At 38.9% G+C, this 20,126-nt stretch overlaps 2 pseudogenes, 1 gene segment (V, D, J or C) and 1 further gene, besides 6 other annotated features; all 4 read right to left on the bottom strand.

Moving 5' to 3' along the window:
* The window catches only part of IGK (immunoglobulin kappa locus), a 1,378,008-nt gene that overhangs the window by 214,820 nt on the left and 1,143,062 nt on the right, over positions 1-20,126 (bottom strand).
* Positions 9,341-9,808, bottom strand: IGKV1D-22 (immunoglobulin kappa variable 1D-22 (pseudogene); annotated as a pseudogene). Its single transcript is given in 2 exon segments — positions 9,341-9,640; positions 9,754-9,808. Coding segments are annotated over 2 exon segments (355 nt in total).
* Positions 9,630-9,640: a sequence feature (IGKV1D-22 leader sequence).
* Positions 9,754-9,808: a sequence feature (IGKV1D-22 leader sequence).
* Positions 10,633-11,638, bottom strand: IGKV2D-23 (immunoglobulin kappa variable 2D-23 (pseudogene); annotated as a pseudogene). The gene is given in 2 exon segments: positions 10,633-11,146; positions 11,590-11,638. Coding segments are annotated over 2 exon segments (563 nt in total).
* Positions 11,136-11,146: a sequence feature (IGKV2D-23 leader sequence).
* Positions 11,590-11,638: a sequence feature (IGKV2D-23 leader sequence).
* On the bottom strand, positions 14,920-15,722 carry IGKV2D-24 (immunoglobulin kappa variable 2D-24 (non-functional)). The segment is given in 2 exon segments: positions 14,920-15,230; positions 15,674-15,722. Coding segments are annotated over 2 exon segments (360 nt in total), but the record flags the coding sequence as incomplete, so codon positions are not given.
* Positions 15,220-15,230: a sequence feature (IGKV2D-24 leader sequence).
* Positions 15,674-15,722: a sequence feature (IGKV2D-24 leader sequence).

Genomic DNA, 20,126 nt, shown 5'->3' with positions numbered 1-20,126 from the left:
ACTGTTTGACTAAATAATTAAGTGACTAAGCTGCCCCTCATAAACTGAGAATGTCACTCTCACCAATTTTAAGATCAGGTGAAGCTCAGCACCATTCAATATTGGGATGCAGATGGTAGTTTAGTGACTGGGTTCAAGCAGATTCAGAAGGCATGCTTCATTTCCATCACAGATGTTCCAGTTCCTTATATCACTTTTCTCTCTCAACTTAACACCTCTGCATCAGCTCTCTCTATGATATCATGGGTTTTCCTGATCAGCTAATGCCAGAGAGATAATACAAAAAAAGAAAAAGAAAAAAAAGAAAATAAGCAAAAACAAAGAAAATCAAAGCAAAAATGAGAACAAGCTGGGCTTCCTCTTGAATGGCTTGGCATCATATGTTTGTGTAAGTAAGTGTGGACTGTGTCCACACTATGGCAACGGTCATGCATGGCTGTCAAATACTACCTTGAGTTATCTTACATCTGAGCAGAGCACATGTTCATCAAATTAGTGTAGATAGAGAAGTGTCTGGAGTCAAGTATACATATAGATTTCTGAATAGCTGGCTGGCTAAGGTCCTGGAAAAGAAGATCATAGCAATGGGTTTTTCCCAAATGTGTGAAACTCATAAACCTATTCATCTGTGTGTGTTCTGAAAAGTGTATACAAAATGTAGCCAGTTCTTATCTCCCTCTGTTTTACTTTTCACTGCACCCCCTTTGATCCCTGTTATTCATAACGGCAGCTTTTAAGTCACCAGAAATCTGTGCAGACATTATTTTAGCAATTCTATCATTCCATCACTTCCAGGAGTCCACTAGTAACTTTCAGCTGGTGTACCACTTGCCCCAGCTAGAGCCCTCAGTTTGAACTAGCTTGCTCTGTTCATTTCCTGCAGAATTCATCACATTTAGCTGGAAACACTGAAGGATCTTGCTTGACTCTCCACCTCAACTCAAGTCCACTCCCTTCGACTGCAAGCTGCAAGCTGACATCCTCATTAAAACCCCAGATCTGCAATTCATGCTGACAGAGCGGAGATGGAAGGGAGAAATCCCAGGCAAAAGGCTACAGACATAATTTCCTTCCTTACTCAAAACATATTCTTTCATGTTATGAATAGTATACAGTATTAAATGTTTTATACTTTGCCAATTTTCAGAGCGCTGAAACCGATTTGATATTTTTTAGCTTTATGCTTAATTTGTCTTTCTCATATATTTTTGCTGAGAGGATTTAACAATCTCTCTGTAACACAATAAAGAGAGATGCCTTCTAAAATGAATTTTAATGAATATGACAGCAACACTGAAAGGATATAGATATATGTTAAAACATAAGTAATTCTGAAGTAAAGAATTTGAACTCAATACCCACGGTTTGAAGAGAAATCGTGCACTTAACAAATATTAACTCTTGGCTGGGGACGGTGGCTCATGACTGTAATGCCAGCACTTTGGGAGGTTGAGGTGGGCAGATCACCTGAGGTCAGGAGTTTGAGACCAGCCTGGCCAACATGGTGAAACCCCATCTCTACTAAAAATACAAAAAATTAGCCAGGCTTGGTGACGCACACCTGTAGTCCCAGCTACTCAGGGGGCTGAGATAGGAAAATCGCCTGAACCTGGGAGGCGGAGGCTGCAGTGAGCCGAGATCGCACCACTGCACTCCAGCCTGGGCAACAGAGTGAGACTCTGTCAAAGTAAAGTAAAATAAAATAAATAAAATAAAATAATAAAATAAAATAAAATAAAATAAAATAAAATAAAATAAAATAAAAATATATATGTAACTCTAATCACTAGATTTCACATTTTCAGGGAATGCACTACAAATCTGTAAAATATGCCTTATGCATATTCTAGAATTGACCAAGTAAGTGAATATTCTCTACATAATGGGAGCCAGGATTGTCTTTAACAGATGATTGAAACACAAATATGAAAACATGATGAATCTTGTGAAATTGTTTCATAAGAATCCATGTCCTTTGTTATGTTTTAATTATTTTTATTTATATATTTTAATAACATTGAAATGTTTTTAGACTTAAAATTTGCATAATATAATAAGATTGTTCTCATGTACTCTTCCACTAGCTTCTTCTGTAATGTCAACATCAAGCGTAACTATAGGGTAAGTATCAATACCAAAACATTAACATAAATGCAATGCTATTAATTAAGTAATTTGAAATCCCCTCGTATTTCACTGATTTTTTCAGTAATCTCCTTCTTTATGTTCCAGAAAAAAAATCCAAAATCCCACACTGCATTTAATTATTGTGTCCTTAATATTTCCCAAATTGTGACAGTTTTTTAGTTTTGTCTTTCATGATTTTGAAACCTTTGAAGTGTACTGGCAAGTTATTTTGGAGAATCTCTTAAGTTGCATTTGTTTGAAGTCTTCTACTGATTAGATTCATACCTTTTATTTTTAGCAAAAAAACAAAAACAAAAAAAATGGGGTGCAACCTCAGTGCACAGCAAGAATTACAAAATGTCAACATATCCTATTAATGGTGATCAATTAATATGAACAATAAAACCCTTTTTTTAAAAAAAATGTTTTATTATACTTTAAGTTCTGGGATACATGGGCAGAACGTGCAGGTTTGTTACATAGGTGTACACATGCCATGGTGGTTTGCTACACACATCAACTTGTCATCTACATTAGGTATTTCTCCCAATGCTACTGTTCCCCTAGCCCCCCACCCCCCAACAGGCCCTGGGGTATAACATTCTCCTCCCTGTGTCCATTTGTTCTCACTGATCAACTCCCACTTATGAATGAGAACACGCGGTGTTTGGTTCTGCGTTCTTGTGTTAGTTTGCTGAGAATGATGGCTTCCAGCTTCATCCATGTCCCTACAAAAGACATAAACTCATCCTTTTTATGGCTGCATAGTATTCCATGGTGTATATGTGCCACATTTTCTTTATCCAGTCTCTCATTGATGGGCATTTGGGTTGGTTCCAAGTCATTGCTATTGTAAACAGTGCCGCAATAAACATATGTGTGCATGCATCTTTATAGTAGAATGATTTATAATCCTTTGGCTATATACCTAGTAATGGGATTGCTGGGTCAAATGGTATTTCCGGTTCTAGATCCTTGAGGAATCGCCACACTGTCTTCCACAATGGTTGGACTAATTTACACTCCCACCAACAGTGTAAAAGCATTCCTATTTCTCCACATCCTCTCCAGCATCTGTCTGAGGCCTCTGTTCTGTTCCATTTGTCTATATATCTGTTTTGGTACCAGTACCATGCTGTTTTGGTTACTGTAGCCTTGTAATATAGTTTGAAGTCAGGTAGCGTGATGCCTCCAGCTTTGTTCTTTCTGTCTAGATTGTCTTGGCTATGTGGGCTCTTTTTTAGTTCCATATGAAATTTAAAGTAGTTTTTTCTAATTCTGTGAAGAAAGTCAATGGTAGCTTGATGGGGGTGGCATTGAATCTATAAATTACCTTGTGCAGTATGGCCATTTTCACGATATTGATTCTTCTTATCCATGAGCATGGAATGTTTTTCCATTTGTTTCTGTCCTCTCTTATTTCCTTGAGCAGTGGTTTGTAGTTCTCCTTGAAGAGATCCTTCACATCCCTTGTAAGCTGTATTCCTAAGTTTTTTATTCTCTTTGTAGCAATTGTGAATGGGAGTTCATGCATGATTTGGCTCTCTGTTTGTCTATTATTGATATATAGGAATGCTTGTGATTTTTGCACATTGATCTTGTATCCTGAGACTTTGCTGAAGTTGCTTATCAGCTTAAGGAGATTTGGGGCTGAGACCATGGGGTTTTCTAAGTATACAATCATGTAATCTGCAAAAAGAGACAATTTGACTTCCTCTCTTCCTATTTGAATATGCTTTATTTCCTTCTCTTGCCTGATTGCCCTTCCCAGAACTTCCAATACTATATTGAATAGGAGTGGTGAGAGAGGGCATCCTTGTCTTGTGCCGGTATTTGACAAGAATATGTCCAGTTTTGCCCATTCAATATGATCTTGGCCGTGGGTTTGTCATGAATAGCTCTTATTATTTTGAGATACATTCCATCAATACCTAGATTATTGAGAGTTTTTAGCATGAAGAGGTATTGAATTTTATCAAAGACCCTTTCTGCATCTATTGAGATAATCATGTGGTTTTTGTCATTGGTTCTGTTTGTGTGATGGATTACATTTATTGATTTGCATATGTTAAGCCAGCCTTGCATCCCAGGGATGAAGCCAACTTGATCATGGGTGGATAAGCTTTTTGATGTGCTGCTGGATTCGGTTTGCCAGTATTTTATAGAGGATTTTTGCATCAATGTTTATCATGAATATTGGCCTGAAATTTTCTTTTTTGTGTGTGTCTTTGCCAGGTTTTGTTATCAGGGTGATGCTGGCCTCATAAAACAAGTTAGGGAGTATTCTTTCTTTTTCTATTGTGTGGAATATTTTCAGAAGGAATGGTACCAGCTTCTTTTTCTACCGGTAGAATTCGGCTGTGAATCCATCTGGCCCTGGACTTTTTTTTGGTTGGTAGGCTATTAATTACTGCCTCAATTTCAGACTTTGTTGTTGGTCTACTCAGGGATTCAAATTTTTCCTGGTTTAGACTTGGGAGGGTGTATGTGTCGAGGAATTTATCCATTTATTCTAGATTTTCTAGTTTATTTGTTTAGAGGTGTTTATAGTATTCTCTGATGGTAGTTTGTATTTCTGTGGGATCAGTGGTGATACCTCCTTTATCATTTTTTATGTGTTTATTTCATTCTTCTCTCTTTTCTTCTTTATTAGTCTGGCTAGTGGTTTATCTATTTTGTTGCTCTTTTCAAAAAAAACAGCTCCTGGATTCATTGATTTTTTTTGAAGAGTTTTTCGTGTCTCTATCTCCTTCAGTTCTGCTCTGATCTTAGTTATTTCTTGTCTTCTGCTAGCTTTTGAATTTGTTTGCTCTTGCTTCTCCAGTTATTTTAATTGTGATGTAAGGGTGTCGATTTTAGATGTTTCCTGCTTTCTCCCGTGAGCATTTAGTGCTATAAATTTCCCTTTAAACACTGCTTTTGCTGTGTCCCAAAGATTCTGGTTTCTGAAAGGAGGTCTTGGACAAAGCTAATTAAGCCAGCTGCTTCTATCACTCTTTGTATTTGGTTATTTGCTGACTTTCTGAGAAATAACCTATTCCTGTCTGAAACTATTTTTTTTTATGTTTCTTAGGCTTTAACCCTCTTCACACTTACTGTACAATAGAGAATATTGAACAAATAAATGAGTTGGCTTTTAAATGGCAAATGTTACTATGATGGCCATTTACCATTTAAATGTTAATAGCCTGAAAAAAAACCCAGAGGAATGAGATTTATTAAAATGTAGTGGTACCAACAAATGAACAGCAGTTACTGAATCAACTGTTTGGAAAAACATAATTTTCTAGCACTTGGAATACTGCAAGAATCAAATGGATAGGAACAGCTTGCCCTGAGCTACTTCTGCTGAGGAGACTGAGATACCATTTGTACCATTTTAGTATGCACACAGTTCAGACACTCTTTGTGGAAATAAGAGGTTCTGGTCCCTCAGTTAAAGAACATGTGGCTACATATGCATGACAGTTATTTCTAGAAATATGTACTTCTCCAAATTTTTAAGTTATTATCTGAAAATTTAATAGAATTTTGTCTTTGGATGGTAATGAAACAAAAATGTTAGAAGAGAATGGAAACTTTTGGGTATATATAGAGAGGATATCAGAGAAGGGTCAACCATACTTTACTGGATACAGTTAATCTGACTGGGGCTTTTGGAGGAAAAGATTTAGAGAAGAAAAGTGTTTGAAGAAGTCATACGTGTTTAAAAATATAGGCACAACTTGAAAACCCTTGCAAGAAAGAATAGATGACTTCACAAAAAGGTGAAGTGACTTTTCAATTTGTCAAATCACACTCATACATATGCTTTTTCTTTCTCTTTTATGCCCTATACCTCTGAGGTATTAGAAAGGCCTGAGTTTGAAATAATTTGTCCCGTAGAAATCCAGAAAGTAAGAGAATGAACAACATCTTTAGCACAGAAGCATGCCAATCCTGGGAAAAACCTGAGATTTGGTTTTTGAGTTATGGCAGATGTAGTAGAAAAAATGAGAAAAGGTTAAAAAGACAGAATAAAGATTATGTAAGAAAGGACAGCAATATGACATTCTAACCTTTCATAGGATAAAGTTATGATAATGAATGATGAGAAGAAATGCAATGGACCCATCTGGGTGGGCATGATTGAAAGTCTGAGCAAGTTAGTATAGATCAAGAACAAATCATTAGCATTTTAAGAATTGTGAGTCAGTCAGTGAAAATCCCATCTCAGAAACTAATGTGGCTATAGATGAAACATCCTTGGATTAGAATTAAGATTGTTTCTCCTAACTCTCTTCTAAATTAGTCTAGTGATGATAATAATGATTATTACAGTGCTAAATGTTATCATAATAGTAACAACAAAATTAATACCAGCACATATAATGATTAGATACTATTGTAAATGCTTTACCTTGTATAAATTGTAAAGAGACCTTTTAGGTAGATTCTATTATTGCCAAAGTTTCACATAAGCAAATTTACTAATGGCACATAATCTATAAGGATTAAAGCTCTGTCTCCAACACAATGGATTTGATTTCAGGGCTTGCCAAGATAACGTCTTGACAGTTAGATAAATATTGTTGACTCTATTTCCAGAATGAATGAAGATCCAATTGAAACTTAGAGCAGCATTAGTAAAACTGCTTCCTTGATACCTAAGAGAAAGGAAGAAAAAGCAAACGATTTTAACTGATTAAAGGAAAGGAGCAGCAGTATATGAAATGAGATTCAGGGGGTGTAAGCAGAGGTTCTGGGAACTATTAAGGAGAAGAGAACCTGACTCTGGATTGATATAAGCATTGCACAGAATCAAGCGGTGTGTAGATTAGAGGATCACCCAAGGAGTTGTCCCCTGCCTATATGGACAGCATCATTGTCTGTTACCTGCATGGACAGCATGATTGTCTGTCTTCAGGGAAATGGCATTGGTAACCTGAAGGGTCAGAACCTGGGTGCTTCTCATCTGTGCAGTTGTGGTCACCCCTGCACCTGCAGCACTGTGGGTACTTGAGTGTTGCTCTTTGAGGAAGCTTCAGGGCCCTCAGAAAAGATCCCTAAGCAGCAAGTGAAAGGTGTACTTGGGAGATAAAGTTCCAATAACTCTTCATTCCAACCATATTCTGTCATGCACCAGGGAAAACAACTAGGCATATTTAGGGTAGAAACAAAAGAAATGGGACCACACAACTTAATTTAGTTCCTACAAGTCTTGTACCACACACCATTCACTGAATCTAGATAATTGGTGAGACAGGAAGACACAGGGATATAAGACAGGAAGACACATGATATATGTGATCTAAGATAGAAATTCTACACTCAGGCTAAACTAACAGCCTTTTCTGACATGACCACCTGGGTGAAAGCTGACCAATATAATATTCACACATCCAGTCATATAGATAGATGCATGTTATCAAATCTGATAGCATAAATATAAATATTTAGTCATCCATTTATAAAGACACTTAGAGGAAATTAAAGCTAAATGATATGAATTAAGTGAAATTCACCTCACTTATGGAAAAAGTGCACTTACGGAAACATGCACTTATCCACTGCTCAAAACTCAGCGGATAATAAAACTAAGCAGATATTTTCTTGTTAATAGATGTTTATGATAACAATGATGTGGCTGATCAAGGAAGAGCTTAGTGGAGTGGTTCTTCTGCCTTTAGATTGTGTTTCATTTGGGATCAAGGAAGGGCCTAGCCAAGACACAACATTTGTATGGAAGGCAGCAAAAAGGAACACAATTTTCAAACAAAACTGACCAGGCAAATGGTATCCTAATGTTCTCTAAAACAGTGAACACAATTTAATTTATTCTTTTACTTTGTTAAGTCCTAAAGTTTCTAAAAACGTTTACTGCATTTAACTATCAAAGTATTTGATCCATTGATAAAAAATAATTGTTTTTCAACTTTTAGAATATTAAAAATATTTTTGAATGTAATTTTGCATTAATTAGAAATAAAGCAGCATATATTTTTAAGTGGTTTTAACATAAATGGTCTCACTGTGGGGGAAAAAAAAATCTTTAGCTAAAGTAAATGTCTTCTAAAACTTGGCTTCTTGAAACACCCGTACGTTACCTCTTAACTAGTTGAAGTGCAGGTTATCATGCAACAAGGTCTAAAGCACATCTGCTACTTTGCATTTGTACTGTGTTCATAGTGACGCTGAGAATGCCACTGGAATCTGGACAAATTTTAAGTAGCAAAGTGCTCTTATATTAAGGAAAAAGTATGCTACATGCACCTATAGGTGTTCTTGTTTGTTTTGTCAATTTTTTTTTCATTTGTCAAAGGATTGCTATGTATTTCAAGCAATGTTGTCATTTTTTTCTTTTACTTTACGACTTAATAAAATTTTCTTGCAATAATACCAAACTTTCTAATAATACATGTAAGAACATCCAAATGTATTCTGAAGCCACCCCATACCTGGAAAATTCTGAGATTTTGGGAAATACTTATCCCACTTGGCTGTAATTCCTCATATTCACCATGATTTCTAAAAGCACCTTTCCTGAAACCCATTAAACCCTCTATGGTTTCTTGTAGAGTTACTCAAAGAGAAGACCTCTCATCATATTTGAAGGTAAGAAGAAGGCGATTCAATATTCTTTGACACCGGTAGGCAAACATGTTCACTGAGATAAGGACTGGAGAATCACCTGGTGAGGTGCTGCAACAACTGATAGCATCAGCATCTTCGCATACGGACTTCCTAGACAAAGAAGACTATATGGTTAGATAGCCCATGCCTTTAGCGGCTGATGAACTCTGGCTTCTGGCAGACCTCCAGAGACTCCCGTGTTTCTAGTGTCAGCTTCCCTAACTACCACACTCCCAGTTTTGTATATTCAACTCTAATTCCCTGTATTAAAACAATGCCTTCTGGCAATCTGTAGAGTGGTTTCTCTTTTAATCTATGACCCAGATGGATGCAATAACACAGATTCTTCAGGTATCGTAAATGCTATCCTTTATTAAATCAGGAGAGATAGTGTCATGTCTGTGCTGCTGGGGCTAAGCAGGAAGAAAAAGAATTAGAATGCAGATGAGACTTCTGACCATTCCTACAAAAACCTTTAAATCTTGGCTGCACCTGAGAAACACTCTCAGCAGATGGAGGCACCAGTGGAAGCACCTGGGGCAGCCATGAGTCATACTTCTGCTTCCCTGGGGGTTTATTTTATGACCTGTAACACTCTAGGATGGCTGCTGTAAGTCTATAGACAGTAATAAGTTATAACATCTTCAGGTTGCAGGCTCCTGATGGTGAGAATGTGTGAAATGTGTCCCAGACCTACTGCCACTGAACCGTGACGGGACCCCAGATTGCAAACTGGATGCAGCATAGATCAGGAGCTTAGGAGGATTCTCTAGTTTCTACTGATACTAGCTTAAATAATTGCAAATGCCCTGACTCGCCCAGCAAGTGATGGTGACTCTCTCTCCTACAGATGCAGTCAGGGAGGATGGAGACTGAGTCATCTGGAAATCACATCTGACTCCTGGGACATAAAAACAAATAATCCACACAACTATTTGTAAGATGATTTCCCTGAAAGGCCAGGCTGTACTGAGCACATTGGCTGAGTAAATTCCTAGTGTTCTCCATCCTTACCTGGGAGCCGGAGCAGCAGGAGCCCCTGGAGCTGAGTGGGGACCCTCATGTCCATGCTGTGTCCTGACTGAGACTGACTCCTGCACAGGGTGTGACCAGCCTATTAAGAAGTCTTCAGAACAGGGGGTTGTGCTCTGGGAACATGCAAATCAGCAGGGAATGGAGCAGGCTGGGCACAGCTGCAGGACTGGTTCATGGATAAGTATCTTAGATCCAGATAAAACTTAATAAATATTCATACTCTTATTTTTCACATTTTCAGCTTGGCCCAGGACATCCCAGCCTAGCTCAGTAGCAAGAATGTGAATCGTTTTTCTTTTTACTCCCATAAGAACAGTAACATAAAACCCTGTGAATGCTCCAGTCCTGGAGGAGAATGTGTGCCGAGAACAAGTGTAAAGTACAACTGGGGTAAGGGAGATAAGCAATGTGTTAACACCACCAAATATTCTCCCATTAAATATATACTAGTAACTGCTAAGCCAAACAATACCAAGAATATACCAGTGCTATGTTGTCATGTATCAGCCTCAGTTGTGTGACTGGTAGGCTGAATACATCTGGTTGACAAATGTATGCAAAGGAGAGAGGATTGAGATGAGCTAAGTCACCTTTCCCTTCCTCCTTCCTCCTGTCTCCTGGCTCAGAGGGCACTTGCATCTTCTGTAGGTTCTGCCCATGCTAAGGCTGCGACTGCTGAAGTGATCTTATGTGTGATGCCTGAGGTGTAGCTTCATACTAATCCCCTGAGTTCACCAACATCTTCCTGTTACATAGATTTAGAGAATATACCCTGTCTACTCCTCAGTGAAGGAACTAATTTGGGCAGCTGGGACAATCCAAGCAGGAGGCTTTTGTTTGGTGCTGAACCATTGTGGGAGGATATTGTAGAGTGTGGTGGCAGTTGTAATAGCCAAGATCCTCAGCCTCCACCCTACTGATCTTAAGCATAAAATCTGTCCCTGACCTGCAACCACTGCAAACTCACGGTTATGTGGTGCGTCACACAGGGCCATAAGTCTTCAGTGACTCAATTGTTAGTGAAGTTCTTGTCCAAATGTATTTCAGGTCGTATCACAAATGCCTATTTAACCATAGGATATAGACCAGCTTCCAAAGGTTGAAACTAGTCCTGTGATATATCTGGGGATGACTGGTCTACTCTCTCCTCCCATTGGGGAGAACCTGTGTGGGAAGGCAGAAAACTGATTGGAAGTCCTACAGATCAGGAGCTGTGGAGAGTGGCCTGGCTTCTGCAGGAACTAATACAAATAGGTGTATCCATTACCATGTAAAAGGTTCTGACTAGACCTGCAGGAGATGGAGGCCGGCTCTCCATTGGTGACGGGCAGAGAGAGTGGAGTCTGGGTCATCACAATATTCCCACAGGATCCTAAAGTAATATAAAAAAGAAGTACAATGTTATGTAAATCATGAGACATTATCATAATTTCTCTACAATTATTTAATGCTAAATAATTGTATTGCGGCGTGTGTGTGTGTGTGTGTGTGTGTGAGTGTGTGTGTAATTTTGATTCATGCACCAAAAAAATTCAATTAAAAAAAAAAACAGACATTTTGAAGGCCCAAGTTGCCCTATGGAAGTCACTTATGCTACCCTCCTCTTTCTATGTCAGAATCTGCACCAGAGCACAGGTCTTTGCTTTTTCTGGAATCTTCCTCACTCTTTCACATATAAAAGTGCCACCATACATTTTATCCTGGAGCACAAGACACGTGCATCTAACATGTGGACGGAACACACATGGGTGACAGTGGGGCCCCCAGAGCTCACCCTCCCACCCCATTCTCCTCCCTCATCTCCTCTGTCCTTACCAGGAACCCAAAGCATTAGCAGCCCCAGGAGCTGAGCAGGGAACCTCACTGTGAGAAGGTGAACTGAGGAGTCCTGATCAGTTAAGGCAAGGTTACAGCTGAGCTTTACTCCCAGACTCACAAGGGAAGGTCATTCCTAAGGGACAATATGCACATCCCCTGGTGGTTGCAGTGGTGTGGAAAGAGCCAATGTACAGTATGCTTAATTCTAAAATGTATCTTTGTCTTCAGTATTTTAACATGCCGCATCATGGCCTGAAACAAGCAAACAAAATAAACCAGTAGACAAAACTAGTTACTACCTACTACACATATATACTAAGTGTTTCTAAGAGTTCAAAAAATATTCTCAATTACTTCCAGAATTGAAAGGAAGAAAAGTCCAAATAGTATTATCAGAAAATATTATTATGTGGTGTACATGTTTGAGACTCCTGTGAGCTTTGATTTGCTCAACAGCCAACATCATGCATTGCAGGCAGCTTTCCATTCTCCTGATGGTTGGTGAGAGTGAGAGTCACTCAGCAAAGGGAGAAAGAGGTGCCCTGAAAGTCATCAGTGGCAGCAGGTGAGGTCAGGATACACTAGGGTCGCCTCCCAGTGATGTGACTAAGTGTCCCTGCATTCATGACAGCAGTAGGGAACTTTAGTGGCTGTTGCAGGGAGGACATGACAACCACTTCCTGGAGAGTCTGTAGGGTGTCAGCGCACTAATTGGAGAGAAAGGGAGAGGCTCTAGGAATTGTCCTGGAGGGCTCTAGCCCCTGTTTACACAGAAGAGGAGCCAGTGTTTGTGACTGAAACCTCATGGCCTCTTCCTGGAAGGCTCTCCAGCCATCTCTAACTGAGCCCACCTGGTATGGACGTGTGGCCTGGGTACCCCAGCTGCTCCTGCTGCATTGAGAGGCTGAGCCTCCTTGAGGTTTGTATGTGGGGCCATCACACAACGCAGCGTCCCAGTGAGTGTCTTGCTAACAGTCGTATGTGCAGTATCTCCAGGCCCCACAGAAGTGATTGTGAGTATGTAATCATTAAAATTTTGACTGCATGTGTGTCTCCACTTTTGAATATGTGCAGAAAAATACTTTGAAGGATTGTCATTCTTTGCCTATGTTACAAACGTCTTGCCATAATCCATTTTTTTCTGGATTTCTCTCCTCAAAAATTGGATTTTAACTTCCCTCACCACAGAATGCATTATCTTGGAATATACAGTCATTTCTAATATGGTTTACTTCCTTAACAAGGAAAAGAGTATGTTGTCCTGCTGATTCAAATGCCCCTTTACTTTGATCATATCATGTCATGATTAGTTTAGAAATACTTTTAGGGCATTATTTTAAGTGTCATCTATGCAAGCTATATATTTTCTATACAATTACTACTAGAAGGTAGGAATGAGGTTCATTTTCATGTAATGACTACATTGTGTGAAAACGATGCATGTACTTATATATTGAAAACCATTTATTCTTTTCATGACAATTGAATACCAAAATTGTCATTTCTAAAACATTATTTAGTTGAAAAAGTTATCTCCACTCCCAGGTACAATAACATTGTGGTTAAAAGCCCTAAAGCAACTGCTGCAAAAGGTACAAAAAATACAAAATTTATGAAATTATAACATCAGAGAACAGTGGACAGAATAAGGCCTAGGTAATCTAAAATTCCAGGGTGAGGAAATCCTCTCTAATTGAGCTGATGCTTACCTGACTTTTTGTTCTCCTGCCATATTTGCCAGGTTGGCATTTGGACCCAAGTTCTGCTTTGGCACAGGCAGAGAAACTCATCTGTGAAAGGAGAATCTGGCTGTGCCTCTTTGGTTGCACAATGCAGCCTCAACTCACAGATAGTGTTCTCCATGGAACATTGGCTGTGGTTTGATGACATGTGCAGTCTTTGGGTGCTGGTCTAGAAAGACAGAAACTCCCCATACAGAGGATTCATGGAGTTTTTGTTGTTGATAAATTCTGCGCAGACCATTCATAATACATGTCTGAATCATGGATATATTGGTCATCATTGCCACTGCTCCCCAATTGATGTAGACTCTATTGGGACTTCAGGTTAGCATGCCACTGCATGATTTGTGTTCTCAAACCCAACCACATGGCATCTGCTGGGTTGTTTTAGTTTGACTGTGACTAAGTCACAGAACCTCAGGTCTATTTGCACAGGAACTTCAATAAACATTTGATGATTGCAGAACTAAAAGATCATTCTTGATGAACTACTTTTCCTTGAAACTTGCAGTGGTGCAGGCTCAACCCATGGAGCCAGGGAGTGATACTTTCTCCTCTGTGATTCTTCATAAGAAAGACATTTGGGCTCCTTTCTGAGTTTATATCACCAACCCCCAACAGTCACTGTCATCCACAACTGTACCTAATGTAAGTCAAAGAGCAGGTTATTGGGCCATAGTTGACCTCCACTATCTTCCATTAATTCTCCCATTCTTGAAGTCGGCCCACTGTCTTCAAACTCTTACATTTTGGGGAAAGAAATCGCACATCATTCTGTGTTATTTCAGTGTTCTATGAGGTAAATTCTATAACCTATGTCTTCTAGTTTAAGTTTCTGTTTATGAAACTCAACTTCTGAAATTTCAAAAACTATCCTTTTCTGTCAGCAAGACACAATTGAAGCGAATAAAATAATTTTAGCATTCATATTTTCTATCTCTCACCAATTTACAAAAGTCCATTCTGAGGCTGAAATCCAAGATTTTCACTAATTGCCCTCATCCAGCTCCTCATGATGACAGCTTGTGCGGAAGGCTCTTTCCACCATCAATATGTGGTGGGAAGATAGGTGGTGAAAGAGAAAAATAAGAAGTTAGGAAAGTTGAAAAGTTCAATTTTGGGATATTACCACATATTATCCTCCTAAATATAGACTTTAAATTGCTAAACCTCAAGATATATTCAAGTGTTGCAACAAATCTGGGTTACTTGTCTGGTTATTTACCTCTTTAAGTCTTATTTCCCAATGCAGGCAAGGCAGGGAAGATTGGAATAGGATTTTCTTAAGCTCTCCCTCAGGGCAGTCTATTACCTGTGCAGGCACTGGGATCACCTCTGGTTTCCTATGGCTTATGCCATGCCAAGGCTGTTGCAGCTGACAGGGCTGTGAACAGGTTTTGCCTGACGTACAACTGAGGCACCCATGGGACAGAACCCTCAGATGCAACCTGTTGCCCTGAGTTCTCCAACATGTTTATCTCATACAGATAGAGATTCTGTTCAACTGCTCCCCAGAGAAACAACACACTTGAGCAGCTGGGCCACTCCAGCGGGAGGTTTTTGTTCAGGGCTGTACCACTGTGTGAGGAAATTGTGTAGCTTGCGTGCAGTAATAAACCCCGACATCCTCAGCTTCCACCCTGCTGATTTTCAGTGTGAAATCTGTCCCTGCCCCACTGCCACTGAATCTGTCTGGGACCCCAGAGAACCGGTTAGAAACCTTATAAATTAGGAGTCTTGGAGGCTGGCCTGGCCTCTGCTGAAGCCAACTCAAGTAGGTGTTTCCATCACTGTGTACGAGGCTTTGACTAGACCTGAAGGAGATGGAGGCCGGCTGTCCAAGGGTGACAGGCGAGGAGAGTGGAGTCTGGGTCATCACAATATCCCCACTGGATCCTGAAATAATGAGAGAGAAGTGCAAGGTTATGTAGAAACTTTAAGCACAATTTTAAAATAATTTTTCTTCTGTTATTTATTTCAGGCTAAATCAATTTTTATAATTTGATTCAGACCCTAGTAATATATAATTTCAAAATAAAAACATATTTTCAAAGCACAGCAGAGTGCTTTGAGTGCTAGAAGTTTCCTCTACCATTCCCTCTTTCTCTGTTAGAGTCTTCACCGGAGCACTGGTCTTTGTTCCTTCTGGAATCTTCCTCATTCTTACAGATCTAAACCTCACATGCCTTACTCACGCAGATATAAAAGTTACAAGCCCCATCCTGGAGTACAAGACGTACACATCTAACATGAGGACAGAACACACATGGGAGGCAATGGGGCCCCCAGAGTTCACCCTCCCACCCCATTCTCCTCCCTCATCTCTCTTCTGTCCTCACCAGGGACCCAGAGCATTAGCAGCCCCAGAAGCTGAGCAAGGAGCCTCATTGTGAGAAGGTGACCTGAGGAGTCCTAATTAGTCAAGTCAAGGTTGGTGCTGAGCTTTTATCTCAGACTTGCAAGGGAAGGTCCTCCCTGGGGGACAATATGCAAATCCCCTGGTGGGTGCAGTGGTATAGAAATAACATGATATGTGCAGGGGTATGGGGGCCTTTCCTATGAACAACATATTTTGTATGCTTGAGAAAAAACTGGCAGAAATAACAATCTATGCAGCCTGATTGGGACAGGATATATTTCTATGTTTACTGTGTTTACTGTCAATTTTTTTACTTCCTAGTATTTTCCCAGTGCTTGTTACACTTCTCTTTAATACGGCTGAGTTTCTGTAAATATTTGGTGCTTCTTATTTTTTTCTTCATGTGTGTTGAAAGGGTCTTGGTTTGCTGTTAATTTTATAAATCAAAATAAATTGTGCCCTGAGTAAAGTGCAAACATGTTCACTGCTCAACCAAATAAAGTACTCACATTCACTACCCAGATACAAATATGAATGATTTGAAATTCTCCACATGCTGCCTTCATTCACCTTTCTAGTCAATAGCTTCTGCCTCTAACCTACCAAGGGAACTGCAACTCTGATATCTATCACAAAGATTCAGTTTTCGTGAACATCAACAACATATGAGTTGAGGTAAGTATATTTATGAAGCTTTCATTTAATTTCATGGATTTAAATTACTGTTCATTGTCATTTACTGTGATTCTGAATTCTGAAGGATTTCTTCCTGAGTTTCTTATAGGACATATATGCTAGTCACGGCTTCTTTTCTTTTCTTTAAGGATAGTTTTGCTGAATATAAAATCATTTTAAACTGATTTTTCTAGTACTTCAAATAGCTTTAACATTAATGGTTAATCCACTATTATTAACGAAGTTACAATCTACATTTGAATTTCACTGAGCTTTCCACTGATACATGTATTTACCATTTTTACTTTTAATGTTTTAGGATAAAATTTCTGGATCCCATATTGCATTCAGTTTTCATGCTTTCTTAATTTCCTTCAATCTCTGACAGCTTTTTAGTCTTTGTTTTGAAATACCTTGAAACTTTTGATTTATGCTGGCTGGTTATTTTTCAGAATGTCCCTTAAGTTCTATTGTTTGGTATTTTCTATTGATTAAAGTCAGATTTTTCATTTTTGGCAAGAATATTACAGCAGGGATGTGTCTTCAGTACATCCTATCAAGAGTTACACAGTATCAACATGTCATCACTGGTGTTGATAAATGAATATTGCTAAGGAACCCTTTTTGTAAGAAAGTCTTGGTCAAAGGTAACCAAGGCAGCTGCTTTTGTCACTCCTCCTATATGGTTATGTGCTGACTTTGTTAGGAATTGTCTAGTCCCATCTGCTATGGTTTAGATGTTTGTGATGTTCCAAACTTAATGTTGGAATTTAAAGCCTAAGTTGATATTAAAAGGTAGAACCCCTTGGGAAGTGATTAAGTCATGGGCTCTGCCCTTAATAAATGGGATTAATGGCCTTATATAGAAGATTTCAGAGAGCTGCCTGGCCCTTCCATCTCTGTTGCCATGTGCAGATGCAAGATTCAATTTGTCTCCTTTGCCTTTTCTGGCTCCACCAGACAGCTTCACCGACACTGAATCTGTTAGCATCTTGATCCTAGAGTTCTGAACTCCAGAACTGTGAGAAATAAATATTTATTGTTTATAAATTTCCCAGTCTGTGAGTTTGTTATAGTTGCATGAAAGAACTCAGACACTATCTGATTCTCTTTTTACTTATTTATTTTTTTCAGAATTCAGTTCTACTTAAAGCCTGCTCTCCAATAGAGAATACTGATTAAATAAATTATGCTCACTCTTAAATGTCAAATATTTCCATCATGGCCATTCAACACTGGAATGTTGATGACGTGAAGGAAGGAAGAGAGGACTGGTGTCTATTAAAACATAGTGGTACCCACCAGTGGATGGATGTTCCTGAGTAATTTGGACAAATATATAGTCCTACGCATCACTTAGAATATTTCAGAAACTAAATGAAAAAGTTTAGAATTGATTGAGCTACTTCTAAAGTGGGAGGTTGAGATGCTATTGGTGCCATACTAGGATGCACACAGTTGAGACATGATTTCCAAGAATCTGAAATCCTAGGGACTAAGTTGAAGAATATGTGGCTATATCAACATGGTACTTATTTCTCAAAATAGATATTTTTCTAAGTTTTTAATTCCTGCTGTGACTAATCAATGGGATTTTGTCTTTTGATTGTTGTGAAAGTAGATAACTTGTTTTGATTTCAGAGACTTATCAGTGGAAGAATATGAGTATCAGATGTGGCTTTAAACTTGGACTTGGGACTTTTGTGTTAAAATTACAATAAGGTAAGACTTTGGGCAGATATGGAAAAGGAATTATTGTATTTTGAAATGTGAAAAGGACATGAGATTTGAGAGAGCCCAGGGGTAAAAGGATGTTGTTTGCATATTTGTTACTGCTCAAATATCATGTGGAATTGTAATCCCCAGTATTGCAAGTCAGGCCTGATGGGAGGTGACTGGATCATGGAGATAGATTTCTCATGAACAGTTTAGCACCATCTTCTTGGTGCTGTTCTCATGATAGCGAGTTCTCATGAGATCTGCTTATTTAAAAGCATATGGCAACTCCTTCTCTCTCTTCTGCTCTTTCTCTGGCCTTGTGATGGGCCTACTACCCCTTAGCCTTCCATCATAACTGTAAGCTTCCTGAGGCCTTCCCAGAAGCTGAGCAGATGCCAGCATCATGCTTCCTACAAAGCCTGCAGAAATGTGAGCTGAGTAAAACTCTTTTCTTTATAAATCACCAGTCTCAGTATTTCTTTGTAGCACTGCAAGAATGGCCTAATAGATTTGGTCTCTTTTTTTTTTTTCTTTTTTTGAGATGGAGTTTCGCTCTGTCACCAGGCTGGAGTGCAGTGGTGCAATCTTGGCTCACTGCAACCTCTGCCTCCTGGGTTCAAGTGATTCTCCTGCCTCAGCCTCCTGAGTAGCTGGAACTACAGGCGTGTGCCACCATACCCAGCTAATTTTTCTATTTTTAGTAGAGACGGGGTTTCACCATGTTGGCCAGGATGGTCTCAATCTCTTGACCTCGTGATCCACCTGCCTCCACCTCCCAAAGTACTGGGATTGCAGAAATGAGCCACCGAGCCCAATCTCTCCTTTTTTTTTTTTTTTTTAATAAAGACACTAATTGAATCAGATCAGAATCTCAACCTTATGGCCTCATTTGACTGTTAGTTTCTTAGAGCTACCTCCAAATATACTCGCACATGGAGTTAGGGCTTCAACTGGTGAATTTTGAGGGGACACAAATATTCAGTTCATAAAAGCTTACCTTATTTTCTTGATTCATCAAATACTTGCTCTCTTGGCATATTTTGTGGTCACCCACGGAGGTGAGATGGATCTTTTCTAATTAGTAGATATTATGGTGAAGCTGTTGACACTCCATGTACAAGAGAATTTGGGAGAAATTTTCTAACTCACACAAGGGAATCTGGGGGAAAGCAGGATATGCACAAGCTGGTATAAGCTGGCTCGAGTTACACAGAGGGCTGAGTTTTTATAGTTGGACTGGAGATATGCTATCTTGCATTGCTGAGGATCTATGAGGTTTGACTGTCCTGCAGGCAGTTGCACAAATATGTGGTGGAAGGGAAAGTGGGAGGTGGTGATTGAAAGCTGTCACTGATCAAACATCAAAAATGGAGTCAGATGCTTATTACATAGCACTTATTCGAAGGTACATGGTACCTTAGAGTATCAGCTTTTTATATTTTGTCCAGCTTTTTATATCTGTTTTTAGCAGCTTGGCATGAAATAAATTTATCTGCTATTTAACATAGTGGGAGTTTTAGGGGAAAAATCATAATTTTGTAAATAACGTCAAAGAAAACAGTATTTGGGGAAACACTGGATCTACATAATTAAGAGATGTAGCAAAATTATAATGATTATTAGTAATTATTTAGTGTTTAATACATTTGAAAGTTATAAACATTTTATAAGTATTCAATTACTTAATTATTATAATAGTCTTATGGTATAGTTACTTCTTTATTTTCCTTTATTAGAGATAAAAAAACAAGGTAAAAGTGTTTAAGTCATTTGCCAAATTTACACATATATTAAGTGTAAGAGACAAAATTCCAACCAATGATATGTGATTACAATCTGTGTGTTCTGTTATCACAGAAACTAATATTTCAAAATCTCTTTCACTGAGCTTTCTACCTGATTTCATCAATTATGTATGAGTAACTTGAACAAGATAACACTGCTGGATCATTGCACTGCCTTTGCTCAGTTTCGTCACATGAGAGAGGCAAGATTTGATGTTGTTGACAGTAACAGTACCCTGCATCTTCAGGCTTCAG

The sequence above is a fragment of the Homo sapiens genome, chromosome 2 (assembly GCF_000001405.40).
Source record: "Homo sapiens chromosome 2, GRCh38.p14 Primary Assembly".
In the NCBI taxonomy this organism is placed as follows: Eukaryota; Metazoa; Chordata; class Mammalia; order Primates; family Hominidae; genus Homo; species Homo sapiens.
The sequence above is the reverse complement of the archived record's forward strand: the minus strand, read 5'-3'. Positions and strand labels throughout refer to the sequence as shown.